The sequence below is a fragment of the Homo sapiens genome, chromosome 2 (genome assembly GCF_000001405.40).
Source record: "Homo sapiens chromosome 2, GRCh38.p14 Primary Assembly".
In the NCBI taxonomy this organism is placed as follows: Eukaryota; Metazoa; Chordata; class Mammalia; order Primates; family Hominidae; genus Homo; species Homo sapiens.
The window spans coordinates 177,194,889-177,212,417 of record NC_000002.12 but is presented as its reverse complement, the minus strand read 5'-3'; the positions used below and the strand labels follow the sequence as shown (position 1 = coordinate 177,212,417).

Below are 17,529 nucleotides of genomic sequence, written 5' to 3'. Positions count from 1 at the left end.
TCCCTCATTCCCCACGCAGGCCTCTAGTTCTCCATTTCAGAATTCATTCTATTCCTGTGCCCGAAATAAAACCCACGTTTTTCTTGCTTGTAATTTAAAGGTTGCAAGAAAAACTCCTCGGCCCCTCGGACCATCTTTCCTGTTTCCAAATGCCGGGGACCAGTGTCTGTGACTGCGCCGCCTGCCTGAGGGCATGTACTGAAAAGCCCTGCGACTCCAACATGTGGGACTCACAAGCACCTTGGACAGGCCTCAAAACGCGGCTGACATACAGAATTTTTACCATTAACGACCTGAGGCAGGACTGGTGGAGGTCAGTTCATTAGTTACTGATCTCAAGAAACAAGTCAGGACTATTTTCTAATGTGCTTCTTTCAAGTTAGTGTGGAAAGAGCTGATGCATCTGTTGTAGCTGACGGAATTTAAGGAACTGAATAATTGACAAGATTTCCAGAAAAGCAGGGTCGCCAGATAATGCTACCTGTTTGCGAATGATTGTTACCGTAATGCTCTAGAGAGCTAATCCTTTCTCGGCCTAGTCAGATGATTTTAAATCATTTGATTTTACAGAGCTTTAGTTTCAGTTTTTTAAATGAAAATGGGGATGGGATTAGGTCATCTTCTAACACCCACGACAGCCATAAATTGATAATCTATGGATCCATATTTAAAGTTACTGATAAAAATAACCACAATTGACCAGCCTCCCTTCCCTGTTAGGAAATGCTTTATATTTTAATTTAGCAACCCATGTGACCAACCCTTTTAGAATTGAACTGGCTCTCCCTAGGAAAGGTTAGAAATCTAATCAGTTATAGTAAGTTTCTGTTAACAAATGGGGAGTGGTCGACTTGGAGTTTGGAAAAGGGGAGCGTAAAGTCTAAAAGTTTGTTAATTTATCTAGCCGTTGCTCCAGGAGGACCTGTGTTATAGTTTGGAAACATTTACAAAGGGTATTTTTGTGGGGCAGAAAACAGTTAGCAGTCCTTAATGTAATTTGGTTGAAATAACCGTTCAAACCAGACTCCTCCTGTTGCTTTGATTCCTTTTTCGCAAACTTTCTTATGTTCTACGTATCCAGGTGCTCCTGATGGCCAGCAATAGACTTGAGACATTGGAAGAATGTATAGCCTTAGCGTCTATTTAGTGTTAAGATTTTGTAAGTCTAATTACTGTGAAATAGTCCTGGTAACTTTATCGATTCTGGATACAAAGAAAAATGCAAAGTGAAAGACCTTTGGAAATTGCTATTCACACCAGAGTACTCTATGAGACATTACATAGGTGATCAAGAAGAGTGATCACCTGGCTGCACTTTAGGGTATGTTTGTCCAGGTTTTTCTAATAAGTTAATTCTAATCAATAACTTTTGTTCTAATTAGTAACTTTTGTATAAATGTTAATGTTAAATCGCGAAACAATGTGGGATGGGATACTAAGTTCTCTCCAGGAACATGAAATGTCAGCCCATTTATTCACATCTTTTTGTCCTCCCTATTGTATTGGTCCAGATTTGTTGTTCATCCTGACTGTATGCTGTTTTTAGACATTAGTTATTTTTTATGCTTTTGTCTAAACAAGCTCTGGCCGGGCGCCATGGCTCACACCTGTAATCCCAGGCCTTTGGGAGGCCGAGGTAGGCAGGTCACCTGAGGTGGAGAGTTTGAGACCAGCTTGACCAACACGGTTAAACCCTGTCTCTACTTTTAAAAAAAATACAAAAATTAGCCGGGCATGGAGGCACACGTCAGTAATCCCAGCTGCTTGGGAGGCTGTGGCACGAGAATCACTTGAACTCAAGAGGCGGAGGTTGCAGTGAGCTGAAATTGCCCCACTGCACTCCAGTCTGGGTGACAGAGCGAGATTCCGCCTCAAAAAAAAAAAAAAAAAAAAAAAAGGCCGGGCGCGGTGGCTCACGCCTGTAATCCCAGCACTTTGGGAGGCCGAGGCGGGCGGATCACGAGGTCAGGAGATCGAGACCATCCTGGCTAACATGGTGAAACCCCGTCTCTACTAAGAATACAAAAAAAAAAAAAAATTAGCCGGGCGTGATGGCGGGCGCCTGTAGTCCCAGCTGCTGGGAAGGCTGAAGCAGGAGAATGGCGTGAACCCGGGAGGCGGAGCTTGCAGTGAGCCGAGATCACGCTGCTGGCTGGGCGCAGTGGTTCAAGCCTGTAATCCCAGTACTTTGGACGGCCAAGGCGGGCGGATCACCTGAGGTCAAGAGTTCGAGACCAGCCTGGCCAACATGGTGAAACCCTGTCTCTACTCAAAATACAAAATTGGTCGGGTGTGGTGGTGGGTGCCTGTAGTCCCAGCTACTCAGGAGGCTGAGGCTGGAGAATCGCTTGAACCTGGGAAGCGGAGGTTGCAGTGAGCTGAGATCGTGCCATTGCACTCCAGCCTGGGTGACAGAGCGAGACTCCATCTCAAAAAATAAATAAATAAATAAACTTAAGGTCCAGTTATGTCTCAGGTACAAAAACCACTTTTCCAGTCCTTGACCCTGTAGGGCACAGACTTGAACCTTGGCTATGGTCTGCACTTGCAGCCCTGACTCTTTGATATGAGAAAGGGAGTGTATGGGATGGGAGGAGGGAATGAGGGTCCTAGGGTGAGATGGGTGGCAGACAAACTTTATAATCTATATCAGGCCCTCTCCTTTATATCATGACATACAGAAAATAATCATTTTTGTACAGCATAGTAGGGTAAACTAGAAGATATTTGGAGGCATCTAAGTGGTGGTAATGTTTTAAGCATCTGATTTTGATAAAATACAAAGTATTAGGAATGATATTAAATATTGAATTTGCATAAAACTTTCAAATTAAAATTTTCCGTGTTTTTTAGTGATCAACTTGAACTTGTTCCTGTGAATACATTTTGATATTAGGTTTTATGGTTGAAGTGGCTTTATGCAGTTTCTGATCTAGACTTTTTTTTTCTTGAGACAGAGTCTCACTCTGTCACCCGGGCTAGAGTGCAGTGGCATGATCTCGGCTCACTGCAACCTACCACTCCTGGGTTCAAACAATTCTCATGCCTCAGCCACCCAAGTAGCTGGGATTACAGGCCCATGCTACCATGCCCGGCTAATTTTGTTTTTGTTTTTGTTTTGAGACAGAGTCTCTTGCTCTGTCGCCCACGCTGGAGTGCAGTGGCGTGATCTCTGCTCACTGCAACCCCTGCCTCCTGAGTTCAAGCTATTCTCCTGCCTTAGCCTCTCAAGTAGTAAGGACTACAGGCGTGCATCACCACGCCTGGCTAATTTTTGTATTTTTAGTGGAGACAGGGTTTCACCATGTTGGCTGGGTTAGTCTGGAATTCCTGATCTTAAGAGATCCGCCCGCCTTGGCCTCCCAAGGTGCTGGGATTATAGGCGTGAGCCACTGTGCCTGGCTGGAAGAAGGTAACTCATTTTGTTTGTTTTTGAGACAGAGTCTCGCTCTGTCACCAGGCTGGAGTGCAGTGGCACAATCTCGGCTCACTGCAACCTCCGCCTCCCGGGTTCAAGTGATTCTCCTGCCTTAGCCTCTCAAGTAGCTGGGACTACAGGCGCTCACCACCACACCTGGCTAATTTTTTGTATTTTTAGTAGAGACGGGGTTTCACCACGTCAGCCAGGATGGTCTCCATCTCTTGACCTTGTGATCCACCCGCCTCGGCCTCCCAAAGTGCTGGGATTACAGGCATGAGGGAAGAAGGTAACCCTTAAAAGGGAGGAATTGTAATAAACTATAAGCTTTGTTATGTGCCATTATATTCAGAATATACCAAAGCTTTATTTTCTAAAATCTTGATTTTTAAATAAGGAGTTTATAAAGTAAAACACACACAAAAAGTCTTTCCCCACAAAATCCTATTACATAGATTTGACCATGATCAACAACTTATTACATATCCTCTCACATTTTCTTGTTGGCCTAATCAATGCTTATATATATGAAACAAACATATTTGTTTTATTTTTACCAATGTATGTCTAACTATCCAGATTGATTTGAAATTTCCTTTCTCTTCCACTTAACAAAGTTATTTACCAAACTCTTACTATGTGCCAGGCAATGCTAGGTGCTGGAAATTCATCATAGTCACTCACATTATTGAATACTACTGTATACCTTGTAATGGGCCACGTACATTATGTTCCTGATTTCATTCCCTTAATAAACTTAGGAGGGTAAATTCTCCCTAATCTGGGATGTAGGAAAGTTGAATACATTGACTAAAATTATATAGGCCCTGCAAGTAAAGTGCTGAATTAGAATGTCATATAATCACTGTATTTACATTTTAATATTCTTGAAGGTAACAACCTTTTCTTTAAAAATCTATCATACATTTGTGTTGTTCACTATGTTTCTTATGTTTCCAGAGACCACTACAGTGATTGGCTCTGTAGTAGGCAATTCACTTATTTATGGAATATTCAACATTAGATATATGAATCATGGATGACATATTTTGGGTCCCCTTCAGTGCCCTGTTGGACCTTGATATGGTTTGGCTCTTTGTTTCCATCCAAATCTCACCTTGAATTGTAATCCCTGTAATCCCCACATGTCAAGGATGGGACCAGGTTGAGGTAATTGAATCATGGGGGTGGTTTCTCCCATGCTGTTCTCATGATAATTAGTGAGTCTCGGGAGATCTGATGGTTTTATAAGCATCTGGCATTTCCCCTGCTTGCACTCATTCTCTCTCCTTCTGCCCTATGAAGAGGTGCCTTCTGCCATGATTGTAAGTTTCCTGAGGCCTCCCCTGCCATGTGGAACTGTGAGCCAATTAAACCTTTTTCTTTATAAATTGCCAGTCTTGGGTATTCATGGCAGCATGAGAACGAACTAATACAGACCTACTGCATAATTTGTGGAGCCATGTGCAAAATGAAAATGCAGGGTGCCGTGTTCAAAAATTATTAAGAATTTCAAGACATGACATCAAAGTATTAAGCCAAGCCAGGACCCTTATAAGTGCTGGACTCTGTGCAACTGCAAAGGTCATATGCCCGTGAAGTCTGCACAGTGCCCAGTACAGTGCCCTGTCTAGAGCAGGTACCTGGTCTCTTTTCAGAAATTTATTCACTTGCCATCTTGTATTTACTTCCACTTTCTTGTCAGCACTCATTTCTAAAGTGTTCCTAATCTAGTTTCTGTCACAGGCTGCCACTCATTTCTTAAGTGTTCCTAGTTTCTGCCACAGGCTATCGAAATTGTTTTTCCAAGGTCACAAATGATTATCTGTCAAATTAATATCCCTATTCTTAAATGTTAATCCTTCCTGACCTAGGGATCAACATTACTGCCTGTTCATCCTTTTTTTTTTTTTTTTTTTTTGAGACAGAGTCTTGCTCTGTTGCCCACGCTGGAGTGCAGTGGCACGATCTTGGCTCACTGCAACCTCTGCCTACTGGATTCAAGCGATTCTTCTGCCTTGGCATCCCAAGTAGCTGGGATTACAGGCATGTACCACCACACCTGGCTAATTTTTATATATTTTTATTTGTTATTTTTTGAGTTGGAGTTTTGCTCTCGTTGCCCAGGCTGGATTGCAGTGGCGCGATCTCGGCTCACTGCAACCTCCGCCTCCCAGGTTCAAGTGATTCTCCTGCCTCAGCCTCCTGAGTAGCTGGGATTACAGGCACACGCCACCATGCCCAGCTAATTTTTTGTATTTTTAGTAGAGACAAGATTTCATCATGTTGGCCAGGCTAGTCTCAAAACTCCTGACCTCAGGTGATCCACCTGCCTCAGCCTGCCAAAGTGCAGGAATTACAGGTGTGAGCCACCACACCCGGCCCTGTTGCTTCTTTTTGATGTTTTCCTTTTTTGTCTTTATTAAGGACATTGGTTTTTCCCTTTAGTTCATCACTGCTTCCTTCTGGATCCTTCCCTTTTTCGTTTTCTCTCTCCTCTTGTTTCCATAAGGTTTTGTCACACTGAGGTATAGAACTTCCTGAGAAACTTTGTGAAATGCACCCATTGTTCTCCTACGAGTGGCCACTTTCCCTGGGAAAAGTATGAGGTGGTGTAAGTGCGTGAGAACTCTCAGGGGATTTGTACATGCCTCCTAGGAAGCTAAAGAAGAGGTTAGGCCTGATTAGTGTATTTGTTAAGATGACAAGATATATCACTTCCTTCTCCCAACACACACACACACACACACACACACACACACACACACACACACACACCACAGTTGAATGATTTAGAGATTGAGGAGGTAATTTGATACAAAAAGTATTAAGGAGTCATTCACAGGGACTTACGTTCTCTTTCAGACAAATCCCAATTTGGAAGTCTGAAAAGGCTGAAATCTTTTTAGTAGGTGCTTTACAAATGACTTTCACATAAAACTTTGATTAAATTAATTAGTTACACTTTTCTCTTACTAACTTGTCTTCTGTTATAAGAGTGTTGGCCATGACCCTTACAATGGGTAAGGAAAGGTGTCACACCTCCACTTTTTTCCCCATAAAATTGACCTTTTGAAGAGATCAGGACAAATGAATTTGTAGGATGCTTTACATTTTGGGTTTATTTGATTGTTTTCTGCAGGTGCGATTTAACTAGATTCTCTGTCTCCTTCATTTCCTATAAATTGGAAGGTTAAATCCAAACTCTTATTAACTTCAAATTAATCAGGTTGAGCAAGAGTATATCAGAGGTGATGATGTGTAGTTTAGATTGTTGTGTCACATTACGCGGCACACAATATCAGATTGTCCCGCTATTTGTGATGTTAAATTTCATCAAAGTGGTAAAACCCTCCTTTGTAATGAGAAGGTCATCTCTGAGGTGGTACTTTGGTCCCATGCAAATATTGGACCCCAAAACAACCTTTCCCATTATGTGTTAGCATTTTTGATCACCCTTGACTGAATTATTATTTCATTGGGGATGACAGAATGATGACTTTTCTAATTATATCATTTCTTCTACATTTATTAGCTAGCATTTGTAAACACACACACACACACACACACACACACACACACACACACACAAAATGTCTCTTCACCAACTGGGAATGAACTACAATTCCTCCTTAAAAGACAGGGTAGGTACTTTAATTACCAATTTTCAGAATAAGAAGTTAGTATAACAGTCACCTTCAAAGGTGGCAAATTATCTTTTTTCTCTCTCTCTCTTTGAGTATCACTATAGATTCATGGGTTTTTATTTATTCACTGTTTTATAATCAATTGCAGTCATTATTCCTTTTGATATTTAAATTGCCCCAAATTTGGCCTCTATGTCCTTTTGAGTTCTCTGTCAGGTGCATATGAATTTTATTAATCAAAACAAACTCTATATGGTGGAATTTAGGCAACATTTGGAAGAGATTTGGGGATGAGGAAAGGGACAGAGTGGCCTCTAAATAGGTAGGCTATCACTGCCAGCAAGATTGTCCTTGGAGTCAGCCATCGTAGGCACATCTCGACCTGGGAGTCTTTTCTTCCTTCACATTTAAGCCCCAGATTTACAAAAAAGCTCCATTGTTTTCTGTAATTAATTGGCAGTGAGAGACCAAAATTACTGTATGAATGTTTGGCTCATTTGTAAATTAAGGCCTGCTTATCTGTGTAGGAATGGTGAAGATAACTGTAACCCAAATGTAATTCATTAAAGGGAAATACTCATCAGTAGCAATATCGGATATTAAATGAGGAAAATATGTTAGTATGTAGTGACATGAGACTTCTGACTGAGATGTGAGCAAGAAAACAGATCCACGGGACCCTCCACACACAGAAACTGAGCTGTTCTGTGCCTTGTTCGTTTGTGTCCTGCTGAGTTCACATTAACAAATGAATCCCAGAATCTTAGCTCTCCCTGGGAGATCTATGTCTTAAGAAAATTTCTTGTGACAATAATACCTTAACCCAAAGCAAACATTTTCAAATGGTGGGAATAAGAGTCAGTGAAGCAAGTCAGTGGAAGAATTTGATTTTGGACAGAAACTCTTTCAGCAAGTCACACCATGATAGCTCCTTCCAATTCTGCTGTACAGATCTCTGGCCCAGGCTGCAATCTTACAGCTATATGGCTGTAAACAAGGTAGAATGTAGAGATTAAATTACCTGAGCGACAGTTAGGAAATCTCCTTTCTTGTGGAAGCAAGGACTAATGCTTTCATATTGTTGTGAGTCTAGTAATGCTCAAGAGATATTTAATGTGCGAAATTTAAATAACACTCTGGGCTGGGCGCAGTGGCTCATACCTGTAATCGCAGCACTTTGGGAGGCCGAGGCGAGAGGATCACTTGAGGTCAGGAGTTTGAGACCAGCCTGGCCAACATAGTGAAACCCTGTCTTTACTAAAAATACAAAAATTAGCTGGGTGTGATGGCACACACCTGTAGTCCCAGCTACTTGGGAGGCTGAAGCAGGAGAATCGCTTGAACCTGGGAGGTGGAGGTTACAGTGAGCCGAGATCGTGCCACTGCACTCCAGCCTGAGTGACACAGCAAGACTCCATCTCATAATAATAGTAATAATAATAATAATAATAATTTAAAAATAACACTCTGTAAAGGCTTAAAGAATGCAAGACATTTAAGGTTGCCTGTGTTTTCAATAACCTCTCAACCCCTTTTTGTTCTGTTTACTTAAATTCCCATTTAGATTTTAGAATACTTTTGCTTTATTTGCTGATTTTAATTTCTTTGTATTTTCCTTTCTTCTGGTTCATCTGGTCCTCTTGCTATTATTGCCTTAATTAATTTCTTGGGCTCTGGCATCATTTTTCTTCCCACTAACAACTTTTTAAATATATACTTCAGTTTTTGTAATCAAGGAAGTTTTGGTTTTCTTTAATAAGTAAATATGAAGGGGACACTGCTAAGCCTATATCTTATACAAAGTTATACACAATCTTAGATGACAAATAATTTGAAAATCAAGGATCTAGATTTTCCAGGCTCAAGTATGATTCAGGTATTCCTCCTCCCCTGGATTACTGTAAGCAGAATCCTTCCCTAGTCGAGATTCTTTTTGTTACTCTTGTTTACCTTAGAGCTCTGTTCAAGTAAACGGTCTCTCTCTGTAAAAGGAATCTGGGTATGAGCTGCTAAAGAGTTACTTCTGCCCCCACATCATAAAATGGAAAAAAACATGTACCAAGTAAAATGCTATTTTATTTATTTTTTATTATTTATTTACTTGAGACAGAGTTTTGCTCTTGTCTCCCAGGCTAGAGTGCAGTGGCGCCATCTCGGCTCACTGCAACCTCTGCCTCCTGGGTTCAAGTGATTCTCCTGCCTCAGCCTCCCGAGTAGCTAGGATTACAGGCGCCCGTCACCACGCCCAGCTAATTTTTTGTATTTTTAGTAGAGACGGGGTTTCACCATGTTAGCCAGGATGGTCTCAGACTCCTGACCTCAGGTTATCCGCCTGCCTCAGCCTCCCAAAGTGCTGGGATTACAGGTGTGAGCCACCGCGCCCGACTATTTTTTATTTTTTTGAGACAGAGTCTCGCTCTGTCACCCAGGCTGCAGTGTAGTAGGATAATCTTGGCTTACTGCATACTCTGCCTCCCAGGTTCAAGTGCTTCTCGTGCCTCAGCCTCCCGGGTAGCTGGGATTACAGGTGCCCACCACCACACCCAGCTGATTTTTGCATTTTTAGTAGAGAACTGGGTTTCACCATATTGGCCAGGCTGGTCCCGACCTCCTGGCCTCAAGTGATCCTCCTGTCTTGGCCTCCCAAAGTACTGAGATTACAGGAGTGAACCACTGCCCCTGGTCTCCAAGTAAAGTGCTTTTATTTGTAATTATTCAGCTAAGCAAACAAATATTCTGGTTACTATTACAGCATATATTAGACACGTTCTGCAGCCTCCAAAAGCTTTCATAAAAATTAGAATAAGTCGGTATAGGAATAGACAGAGATGATTAAAGGGTTTTGGGATAGGCATCTTTTCCTGTATTCTTTTAAGAGGCTTTTTTTCTAGCTTTTATCTATTTTGTGGTAAAAATATATAATATTAAGTGTGCCATTTTAAGTATTTTAGAATTACAATTGTCATTAATTGTAGTCACAATATTGTCTAACTATCACTACTCTCTATTTCCAAAACCTTTCCATCATTGCAAACAGAAACTTTGTACCCACTAAGTAATAATTCTCCATTCTTTTTCTCTCAGCCCTAGTAACCTCTATTCTGCTTTCTGTTTCTACAAATTTGTCAGCCGTTTTAAAAAGATGAGCTTTGGCAGCTGTGTAGATGGGAAATGGCCTAAGGCAGGGTCCCCAACACCTAGGCCATGAACCAGTATTGGTCCATGGCATGTTAGCAACCAAACTGCACAGCAGGAGGTTCATCTGTATTTGACTGAATTATTATTTCAGAGAGAGAGAGTGGAGCTTCATCTATATTTACAGCTGCTCCCCGTTGCTTGCATTACCACTGGAGCTCCGCCTCCTGTCAGATCAGCAGAAGCAGCAGTGGCATTAGATTCTCATAGGAGGCTGAACCTTATTGTGAACTGCACATGCAAGGGACCTAGGTTGCATGCTCCTTATGAGAATCTAATGCCTGATGATCTGTCACTGTCTCCCATCACCCCCATATGGGACGATCTAGTTGTAGGAAAACAAGCTCAGGGCTCCCACTGATTCTACATTAAGGTGATTTATGTCATTATTTCATTATATATTACAATATAATAATAGAAATAAAGTGCACAATAAATGTAGTGTGCTTGAATAGTCCTGATAACCATCCCCCCACCCACTGTCCCAGTCCATGGAAAGATTGTCTTTTATGAAACCCATCGCTGGTACCATAATGATTGGGGACTGTTGGCCTAAGGAATGCAAAGGAATGAAACTCTTTTCCTTCAGGTAATTGTAACAACATAATGTTTTGAAAACCATTCTTGTTAGTTTCTTTTTTGCTTTTCTCAGAGCCCAATCTTTGCTCTAGTTGGCAGAGATGTTGATCAGGCTGGCAGAACTGGGATATGGAAAGGATACAAAAAGAAAATGTTACATGGTATTCAGCTTCTGAAAACAAAATAGTATTATGCATGTCAGTAGCCTTGCAAGCAAGCTGAGTTTTCCTTTTTTTTCTTTTCTTTTCTTTTTTTTTTTTTTTTGAGGTCTCACCATGTTACCCAGGCTGCAGCCCATGTCGCCCAGGCTGCAGCCCAGCGGCCCAATCACAGCTCACTGTAGCCTTGACCTCCTGGGGTCAAGCTGTTCTCCCACCTCAGCCTCCTAAGTAGCTGGGACTACAGATGTGCACCACCACACTCAGCTAATTTTTTAAAATTATTATTTGCAGAGATGAGGTCTCACTATATTGCCCAGGCTGATCTTGGATTCCTGGGCTCAAGCGATCCTCCCTCCTCAGCCTCCCAAAGTGCTGGAATTATAGGCATGAGCCACCTCACCTGGCCACAAGCTGAGTTTTTATCTTAAGATATGATTTTTTCTAAATTCCTTTTCCCCCTTTAATATATCACTTGCTGAATCAGGAGGGACCGACTCAAAAGTTTCGTGTTATTGAGAGGATATTCTTCTGTTTATGTTAGCAAAGCCACAAGTCTTGCTGATCAATGGTAGAAAGAGGCCTGACACGGTGGCTCATACCTATAATCTAAGCACTTTGGGAGGCCGAGGCAGGAGGATCACTTTAGCCCAGGAATTCGAGACCAGCCTGGGCAACATGATGAAATCCAATCTCTACAAAAAATATGAAAATTAGCTGGGTATGGTGGTGCACGCCTGTAGTTCCAGCTACTCCGGAGGCTGAGGTGGGAGGATCCCTTGAGCCCAGGAGGTCAAGGTTGCAGCAAGCCGTTATGGCGCCACCGCACTCCAGCCTGGGTGACAAAGTGAGACCCTGTCACACACACACACACACTAGAGGGCAAATAGGCTAAGTATGCCTGCAAGTAACAAAAATACTGCAGATAATAGTAGCCTCAAGGTAAGAGTTTGTTTCTTTGCCATATTCCAGAATTCATTAAAATAACTGAAGTCTGCTGGGCACGTTAAATTTGCCTGCAAGTAACAAAAATACTACAGGATGATAGTAGCCTCAAGGTACAAGTTTGTTTCTTTGCCATATTCCAGAATTCATTAAAATAAGTGAAGTTGGCTGGGCACATTAAATTTGCCTGCAAGTAACAAAAACACTACAGGATAATAGTGGCCTCAAGGTACAAGTTTGTTTCTCTGCCATATTCCAGAATTCATTAAAATAACTGAAGTTGGCCGGGCGCAGTGGCTCACGCCTGTAATCCTAGCACTTTGGGAGGCCGAGGCGGGGGGATCACTTGAGGTCAGGAGTTCGAGACCAGCCTGGCCAACATGGTGAAACCCTGTCTCTACTAAAAATACAAAAATTAGCCAGGAGTGATGGTGCACACCTGTAATCCCAGCTACCCGGGAGGCTGAGGCAGGAGAATCGCTGGAACCTGAGAGGCCGAGGCTGCAGTGAGCCGAGATTGTGCCACTGCACTCTAGCCTGGGTTAACAGAGTGAGACTCTATCACAAAAAAAAAAAAAAAAAAAGGAAAAAAAAGAGTAGGTTAGGCTTTGAGTACATCAAGAGGCTGGGAAATGGGTTTTGCTAGCTAAGAAAGTAACAAAGACATTTTCTCTTTTCTGTGACTGTGGCTAAGACTAGTCCTGTCCTGTCTTTGCCATAAACTATGTGGGAAATGGCTTTCCTTCACAAAATGAGTCCCTAAAGAGAAGGGAGACTGATGGCCATCTCTCTCCATGTGGCCTGAAGAGCCAGGAGGTAGGAATAAGGGGAGTCAAGCAAGGCCTTAACCAGACTCTAATACGCAAGCTGGCCCTGTTGCCTTGGGAAGAATGTGGCTCCGGTGAGTAGCAGCAGGTAGAGGTGTATAATCTGGGATATGTGCAGCTCTGATGCCTTCCGTTTTAGAAAGGACTCTGCTTTGCTCTGGCCTTTAATTTATGCCACATAGGCACAGGGGCTACATAACATAGTGGTTTACAGCAAGGATTTGGGATCCAGACTGGCCAGATTTGAACTCCAGCACTATTCCTTGATACCTCTGAAACTTGGGACAAGTAACTTAGTCACTATGTATGAAAAGAGATAATAATACTAGTACCTTCCTCATACTACAAGACTACAAGATGTGGTCAAGACCAGAAATATATAAGCACTGTAAAAACAATGTAAAACCAAATGAAAATTCTTCATTTGTATCTTCCAAAAATAAAAAAATAGCTATTTGGGATTCTTGTCTACTTTGTCCCTGTAGTCCTATATATTGTTTCTCTTATGTCAGATTTCTAACTAGTGGTTCTGTTTTGTTTTTTTACAAAATTTTAATAAGGTTTTTTTTTTTTTTTTGGCAGAGCTAGCTGAGGTTTTATTTTGGACAAAAAAAAAAAAAGCCAGGTATGGTGGCTCACGCCTGTAATCCCAGCATTTTGGGAGGCCGAGGCAGACCAATCATGAGGTCAGGAGTTCAAGACCAGCCTGGCCAATATGTTGAAACCCCATCTCTACTAAAAATACAAAAATTAGCTGGGCGTGGTGGCGTGTGCCTGTACTCCTAGCTACTCGGGAGGCTGAGGCAGAAGAATCACTTGATCCCAGGAGGCAGAGGTTGCAGTGAGCCGAGGTCATGCCACTGCACTCCAGCCTGGGCGACAGAGCGAGACTCCGTCTCAAAAAAAAAAAAAAAGCAATTGAATTGTTTTGTAGCTGGAGGCATGGGGCAAAGGGGGTCCCCCGCGGTGGGCTGAGGGTTGGGGCTGAGCCTCGGGTGGGTTTCCTGTTGCCTGTGCTCCCCTGCACAGTGGCCTCCCTCCCGGGCTCTGGGGCAGCCGCAGGAGGGGCACGCTGGGAGGGGCTGCCGCAGCTGTTCACTTGCGCAGGACGTCAGAAGACTCGGACACCAGCTTCCCATTGCGGGTCTGTATCTTCTTCACAACCACGGCCCTGGTGGAGCTGCTGTGGCTGAAGGAGCTGGAGCCCACGCCAGAGCCAAAGCTGGAGCCCAGGCCGTAGCTGAGGCTGGGGCTTGTGAGGCCCCCATAGGCCGAGCTCAGACCACCTGCATAGCTGCTGGTGGTCTTCGTATGGATACTCATGTTCTGCATCCCAGACTCCAGCCGGCTGTCCTTGCCCTCCAGCAGCTTCCTGTAGGTGGCGATCTCCATATCCAGGGCCAGCTTGATGTTCATCAGCTCCTGGTACTCATGCAACTGCCATGCCATGTCTTGCTTGGCCCGCTGCAGGGCCGCCTCCAGCTCGGACAGCTTGGCGTTGGCATCCTTAATGGCCAGCTCCCCACGCTGCTCAGCATCTGCGACGGCGGCCTCCAGGGAAGCCTTCTGGCCTTTGAGACCCTCAATCTCAGCCTGGAGCCAGCTGATGTTCCGGTTCATCTCGGAGATCTCAGTCGTTGTATGCCGCAGGTCATCGCTGTGTGGTTTTTTTTTTTTGTTTTTTTTTTTTTTTTTTTTTTGAGATGGAGTCTCGCTCTGTTGCCCAGGCTGGAGTGCAATGGTGCAATTTCAGCTCACTGCAACCTCCACCTCCCAGGTTCAAGTGATTCTCTGTCCTCAGCCTCCCAAGTAGCAGAGATTACAGGCACCTGCCACCACACCCGGATATATTATTATTATTTTTGAGATGGAGTCTTGCTCTGCTGCACAGGCTGGAGTGCAGTGGCATAATCTCAGCTCACTGCAACCTCCGCCTCCTAGGTTCAAGACATTCTCCTGTCTCAGCCTCCTGAGTAGCTGGGATTACAGGCACACGCCACCATGCCCAGCTAATTTTTATATTTTTAATAGAGATGGGGTTTTGCCATGTTGGCCAGGCTGGTCTTGAACTCCTGACCTCAGGTGTTCTGCCTGCCTCGGCCTCCTGAAGTGCTGGGATTACAGGCGTAAGCCACCGTGCCCAGCCTTTTTTTGTATTTTTAGTAGAGATGGGGTTTCACCATGTTGGCCAGGCTGGTCTCGAACTCCTGACCTCAAGTGATCTGCCTGCCCCAGCCTCCCAAAGTGCTGGGATTACAGGCATGAACCACCGCGCCCAGCTTGTTTTCCTTTTTGAAAAACACAGGCAAACAATCTTCATTTGGTAGGATTAACCATGCTGAATTTACAATAACACATTTCTGGCCTTGTTTACATCCTGTAGCTTATTTGTAGAGCATACTAACTAGCATATGTTGTGTGTTTACTTCAAGCTTATAATATCAGCTGTGAATTTTGTTCAGTTCAATACTATCATAGTCTTTTGAAGATATAAAGATATATTATCTTAAACATTATAGGGTATACAAGTGAAGCCAGAGTAATTTGTTTCAGTCCAAATTTCTTCAATTTTTTTTTTTTTTTGAGATGGAGTCTCACTGTATGGCCCAGGCTAGTGTGTAGTGGCATGATCTCAGCTCACTGAAATCTCCGCCTCCTGGTTCAAGCAATTCTCATGTGTCAACCTCCCAAGTAGCTGGAACTACAGGCACCCACCACCACACCTGGCTAATTTTTTTTTTCCTTTTTTTTTTTTTCTTTTTTGAGACGGAGTCTCACACTGTCTCCCGGGCTAGAGTGCAATGGCATGATCACAGCTCACTGCAAGCTCTGCCTCCAAGTTCACACCATTCTCCTGCCTCAGCCTCTTGAGTAGCTGGGATTATAGGTGCACACCACCACACCCGACTAATTTTTGTATTTTTAGTAGAGATGGGGTTTCACTATGTTGGCCAGACTGGTCTCAGATTCCTGCCCTCATGATCCGCCCACCTCGGCCTCCTAAAGTGTTGGGATTACAGGTGTGAGCCACCGTGCCTAGCATTTTTTGTATTTCAGTAAAGACAGGGTTTTACCATGCTGGCCTGGCTAGCCTCGAACTCCTGAGCTCAGGCAATCCTCCCGCCTTGGCTTCTCAAAGTGCTGGGATTAATTTTTATTATTTTAATTATCTACATGTTGTAGCTGTATTCCTACTATACTTTTTCCAGCAGATTATTTCTTGGTGAAATGTCCCTTAAATCAGATATGAACCATGTGAAAATAATCATTATAAATATTCTAATATGCAGTTATTTATTTTTTAAAAATATGGGTACATAGTAGGTGTACTGATTTAGATTTAAAGCAATTTTAGTTCTGGAAATATGTTATTCCTCTATTCATACTATTTTAAATTTGAACTTGTCTTAAGCATTAACTGTTATTAGGTACAAGACAATTGCAAAAGCTGAAAATACTATTATTAAATAATAAAGCAATAAAAATGTTTTTTGTTGGGGGGAGAGGAGAAGGAAAGTTCAAATACACCTAGTCAGGGACCCAAGCATCCTAATAAAAAATCATTTAGCATCGAGTCTCTCAGAGTGTGCTCACATGTTCAGAACATTCAAAACACTTGATTCCATGTATCTGAGGGAGAGTTATCACACATTTTGTTCCTCCAAATTGAAATAATATTTTATATATTTTTTGAGACAGAGTCTCACTCTGTTGCCCAGGCTGGAGTGGAGTGGCGCAATCTTGGCTCACTGCAACCTCCATCTCCCAGGTTCAAGCAATTCTCCTGCCTCAGCCTTCTGAGTAGCTGGGACTACAGGTGCATGCCGCTATGCCTGGCTAATTTTTATATTTTTAGTAGAGACAGGATTTCACCATATTGGCCAGGCTGGTCTCGGACACCTGACCTCAAGTGATCTACCCACCTCGGCCTCCCAAAGTGCTAGGATTACAGGCGTCAGCCACTGTGCTGGCCTCAAATGGAAACTTTGAGTTTTTTCTCTTTTTGGCTGACAAATGACTTTGATTTATCAGTTTTGAAATTACACATTCCTTAATCTAGAGCTAATAAGTAACAAACTGACCCCATGGTATAACTTGAAATTAGGACTGTATCATAAAACAGATATCATATTATCAGTTAATATGAGTTAAGTTTCTAAAATTTAGAAAACTGACTTTCTTTCAATGAGTACTGCTATTTACTGAAGGGTAAAATAAGAGTTACATGGTGTAGTTGATGGAGTGTGTTAGCACACCTCCAGCAGGTGGGTGCCTACTACTGCACTGAATCAGAGCCTCCAATGCCCCTGGGTTTCCCATTTGCCTCTCATGAAGCGTTTTAGGTTGATTAATTCCAGGATAGGCACTAATATCATTGTTCCCAGTAATCTAGCAACATAAAGCCTTGTAAACCAAGACCTTAGACATTTCCATGAAGTCTTTTCAAGTGCTGCTTTCTACTCGCTGGCTGTCATAGATCATTGCAGCTCTACAGGCAATCTTTGGAATATATTTCCAGCCATTTTAGTCTCAGCTCTTTTTTTTTTTTTTTTTAAAGACTAGTGAAATACAATAGTCAGATGAGGGGAAAGAGTAGAACAAGGAGGTTGATCTGTAACTGACTGTGACCCATCAACTGAGGTAACTCACTTCCTTCGGACCAGCCTCAGCTCTTTTTGTGAGTAAGGAATAGAAATCTACCCACATTAGTTCAAATAAAGGAGATGGGGATATACAATAATTTTGGTAATTAAAATCAA

The 17,529-nt window shown here is 42.8% G+C and overlaps 1 long non-coding RNA gene and 1 pseudogene across 1 annotated transcript, besides 2 other annotated features; one reads left to right on the top strand and one right to left on the bottom strand.

Annotated features, from left to right (window-relative positions):
- On the top strand, nt 7-1,023 carry LOC105373759 (uncharacterized). Its single transcript, NR_157853.1, has one exon. It is a non-coding gene; the product is annotated as an uncharacterized LOC105373759 (long non-coding RNA).
- Nucleotides 7,267-8,229: an enhancer, noted in NCBI's record as "OCT4-NANOG hESC enhancer chr2:178068917-178069879 (GRCh37/hg19 assembly coordinates)". NCBI's record gives its function as "activates a minimal SCP1, AML or CMV promoter by ChIP-STARR-seq in primed H9 embryonic stem cells {active_cell/tissue: H9 hESC(primed)}" and the evidence as "EXISTENCE:reporter gene assay evidence [ECO:0000049][PMID:30033119]".
- KRT8P40 (keratin 8 pseudogene 40) lies at nt 13,673-14,431 on the bottom strand (annotated as a pseudogene).
- Nucleotides 13,842-14,379: an enhancer, noted in NCBI's record as "H3K27ac-H3K4me1 hESC enhancer chr2:178062767-178063304 (GRCh37/hg19 assembly coordinates)". NCBI's record gives its function as "activates a minimal SCP1, AML or CMV promoter by ChIP-STARR-seq in primed H9 embryonic stem cells {active_cell/tissue: H9 hESC(primed)}" and the evidence as "EXISTENCE:reporter gene assay evidence [ECO:0000049][PMID:30033119]".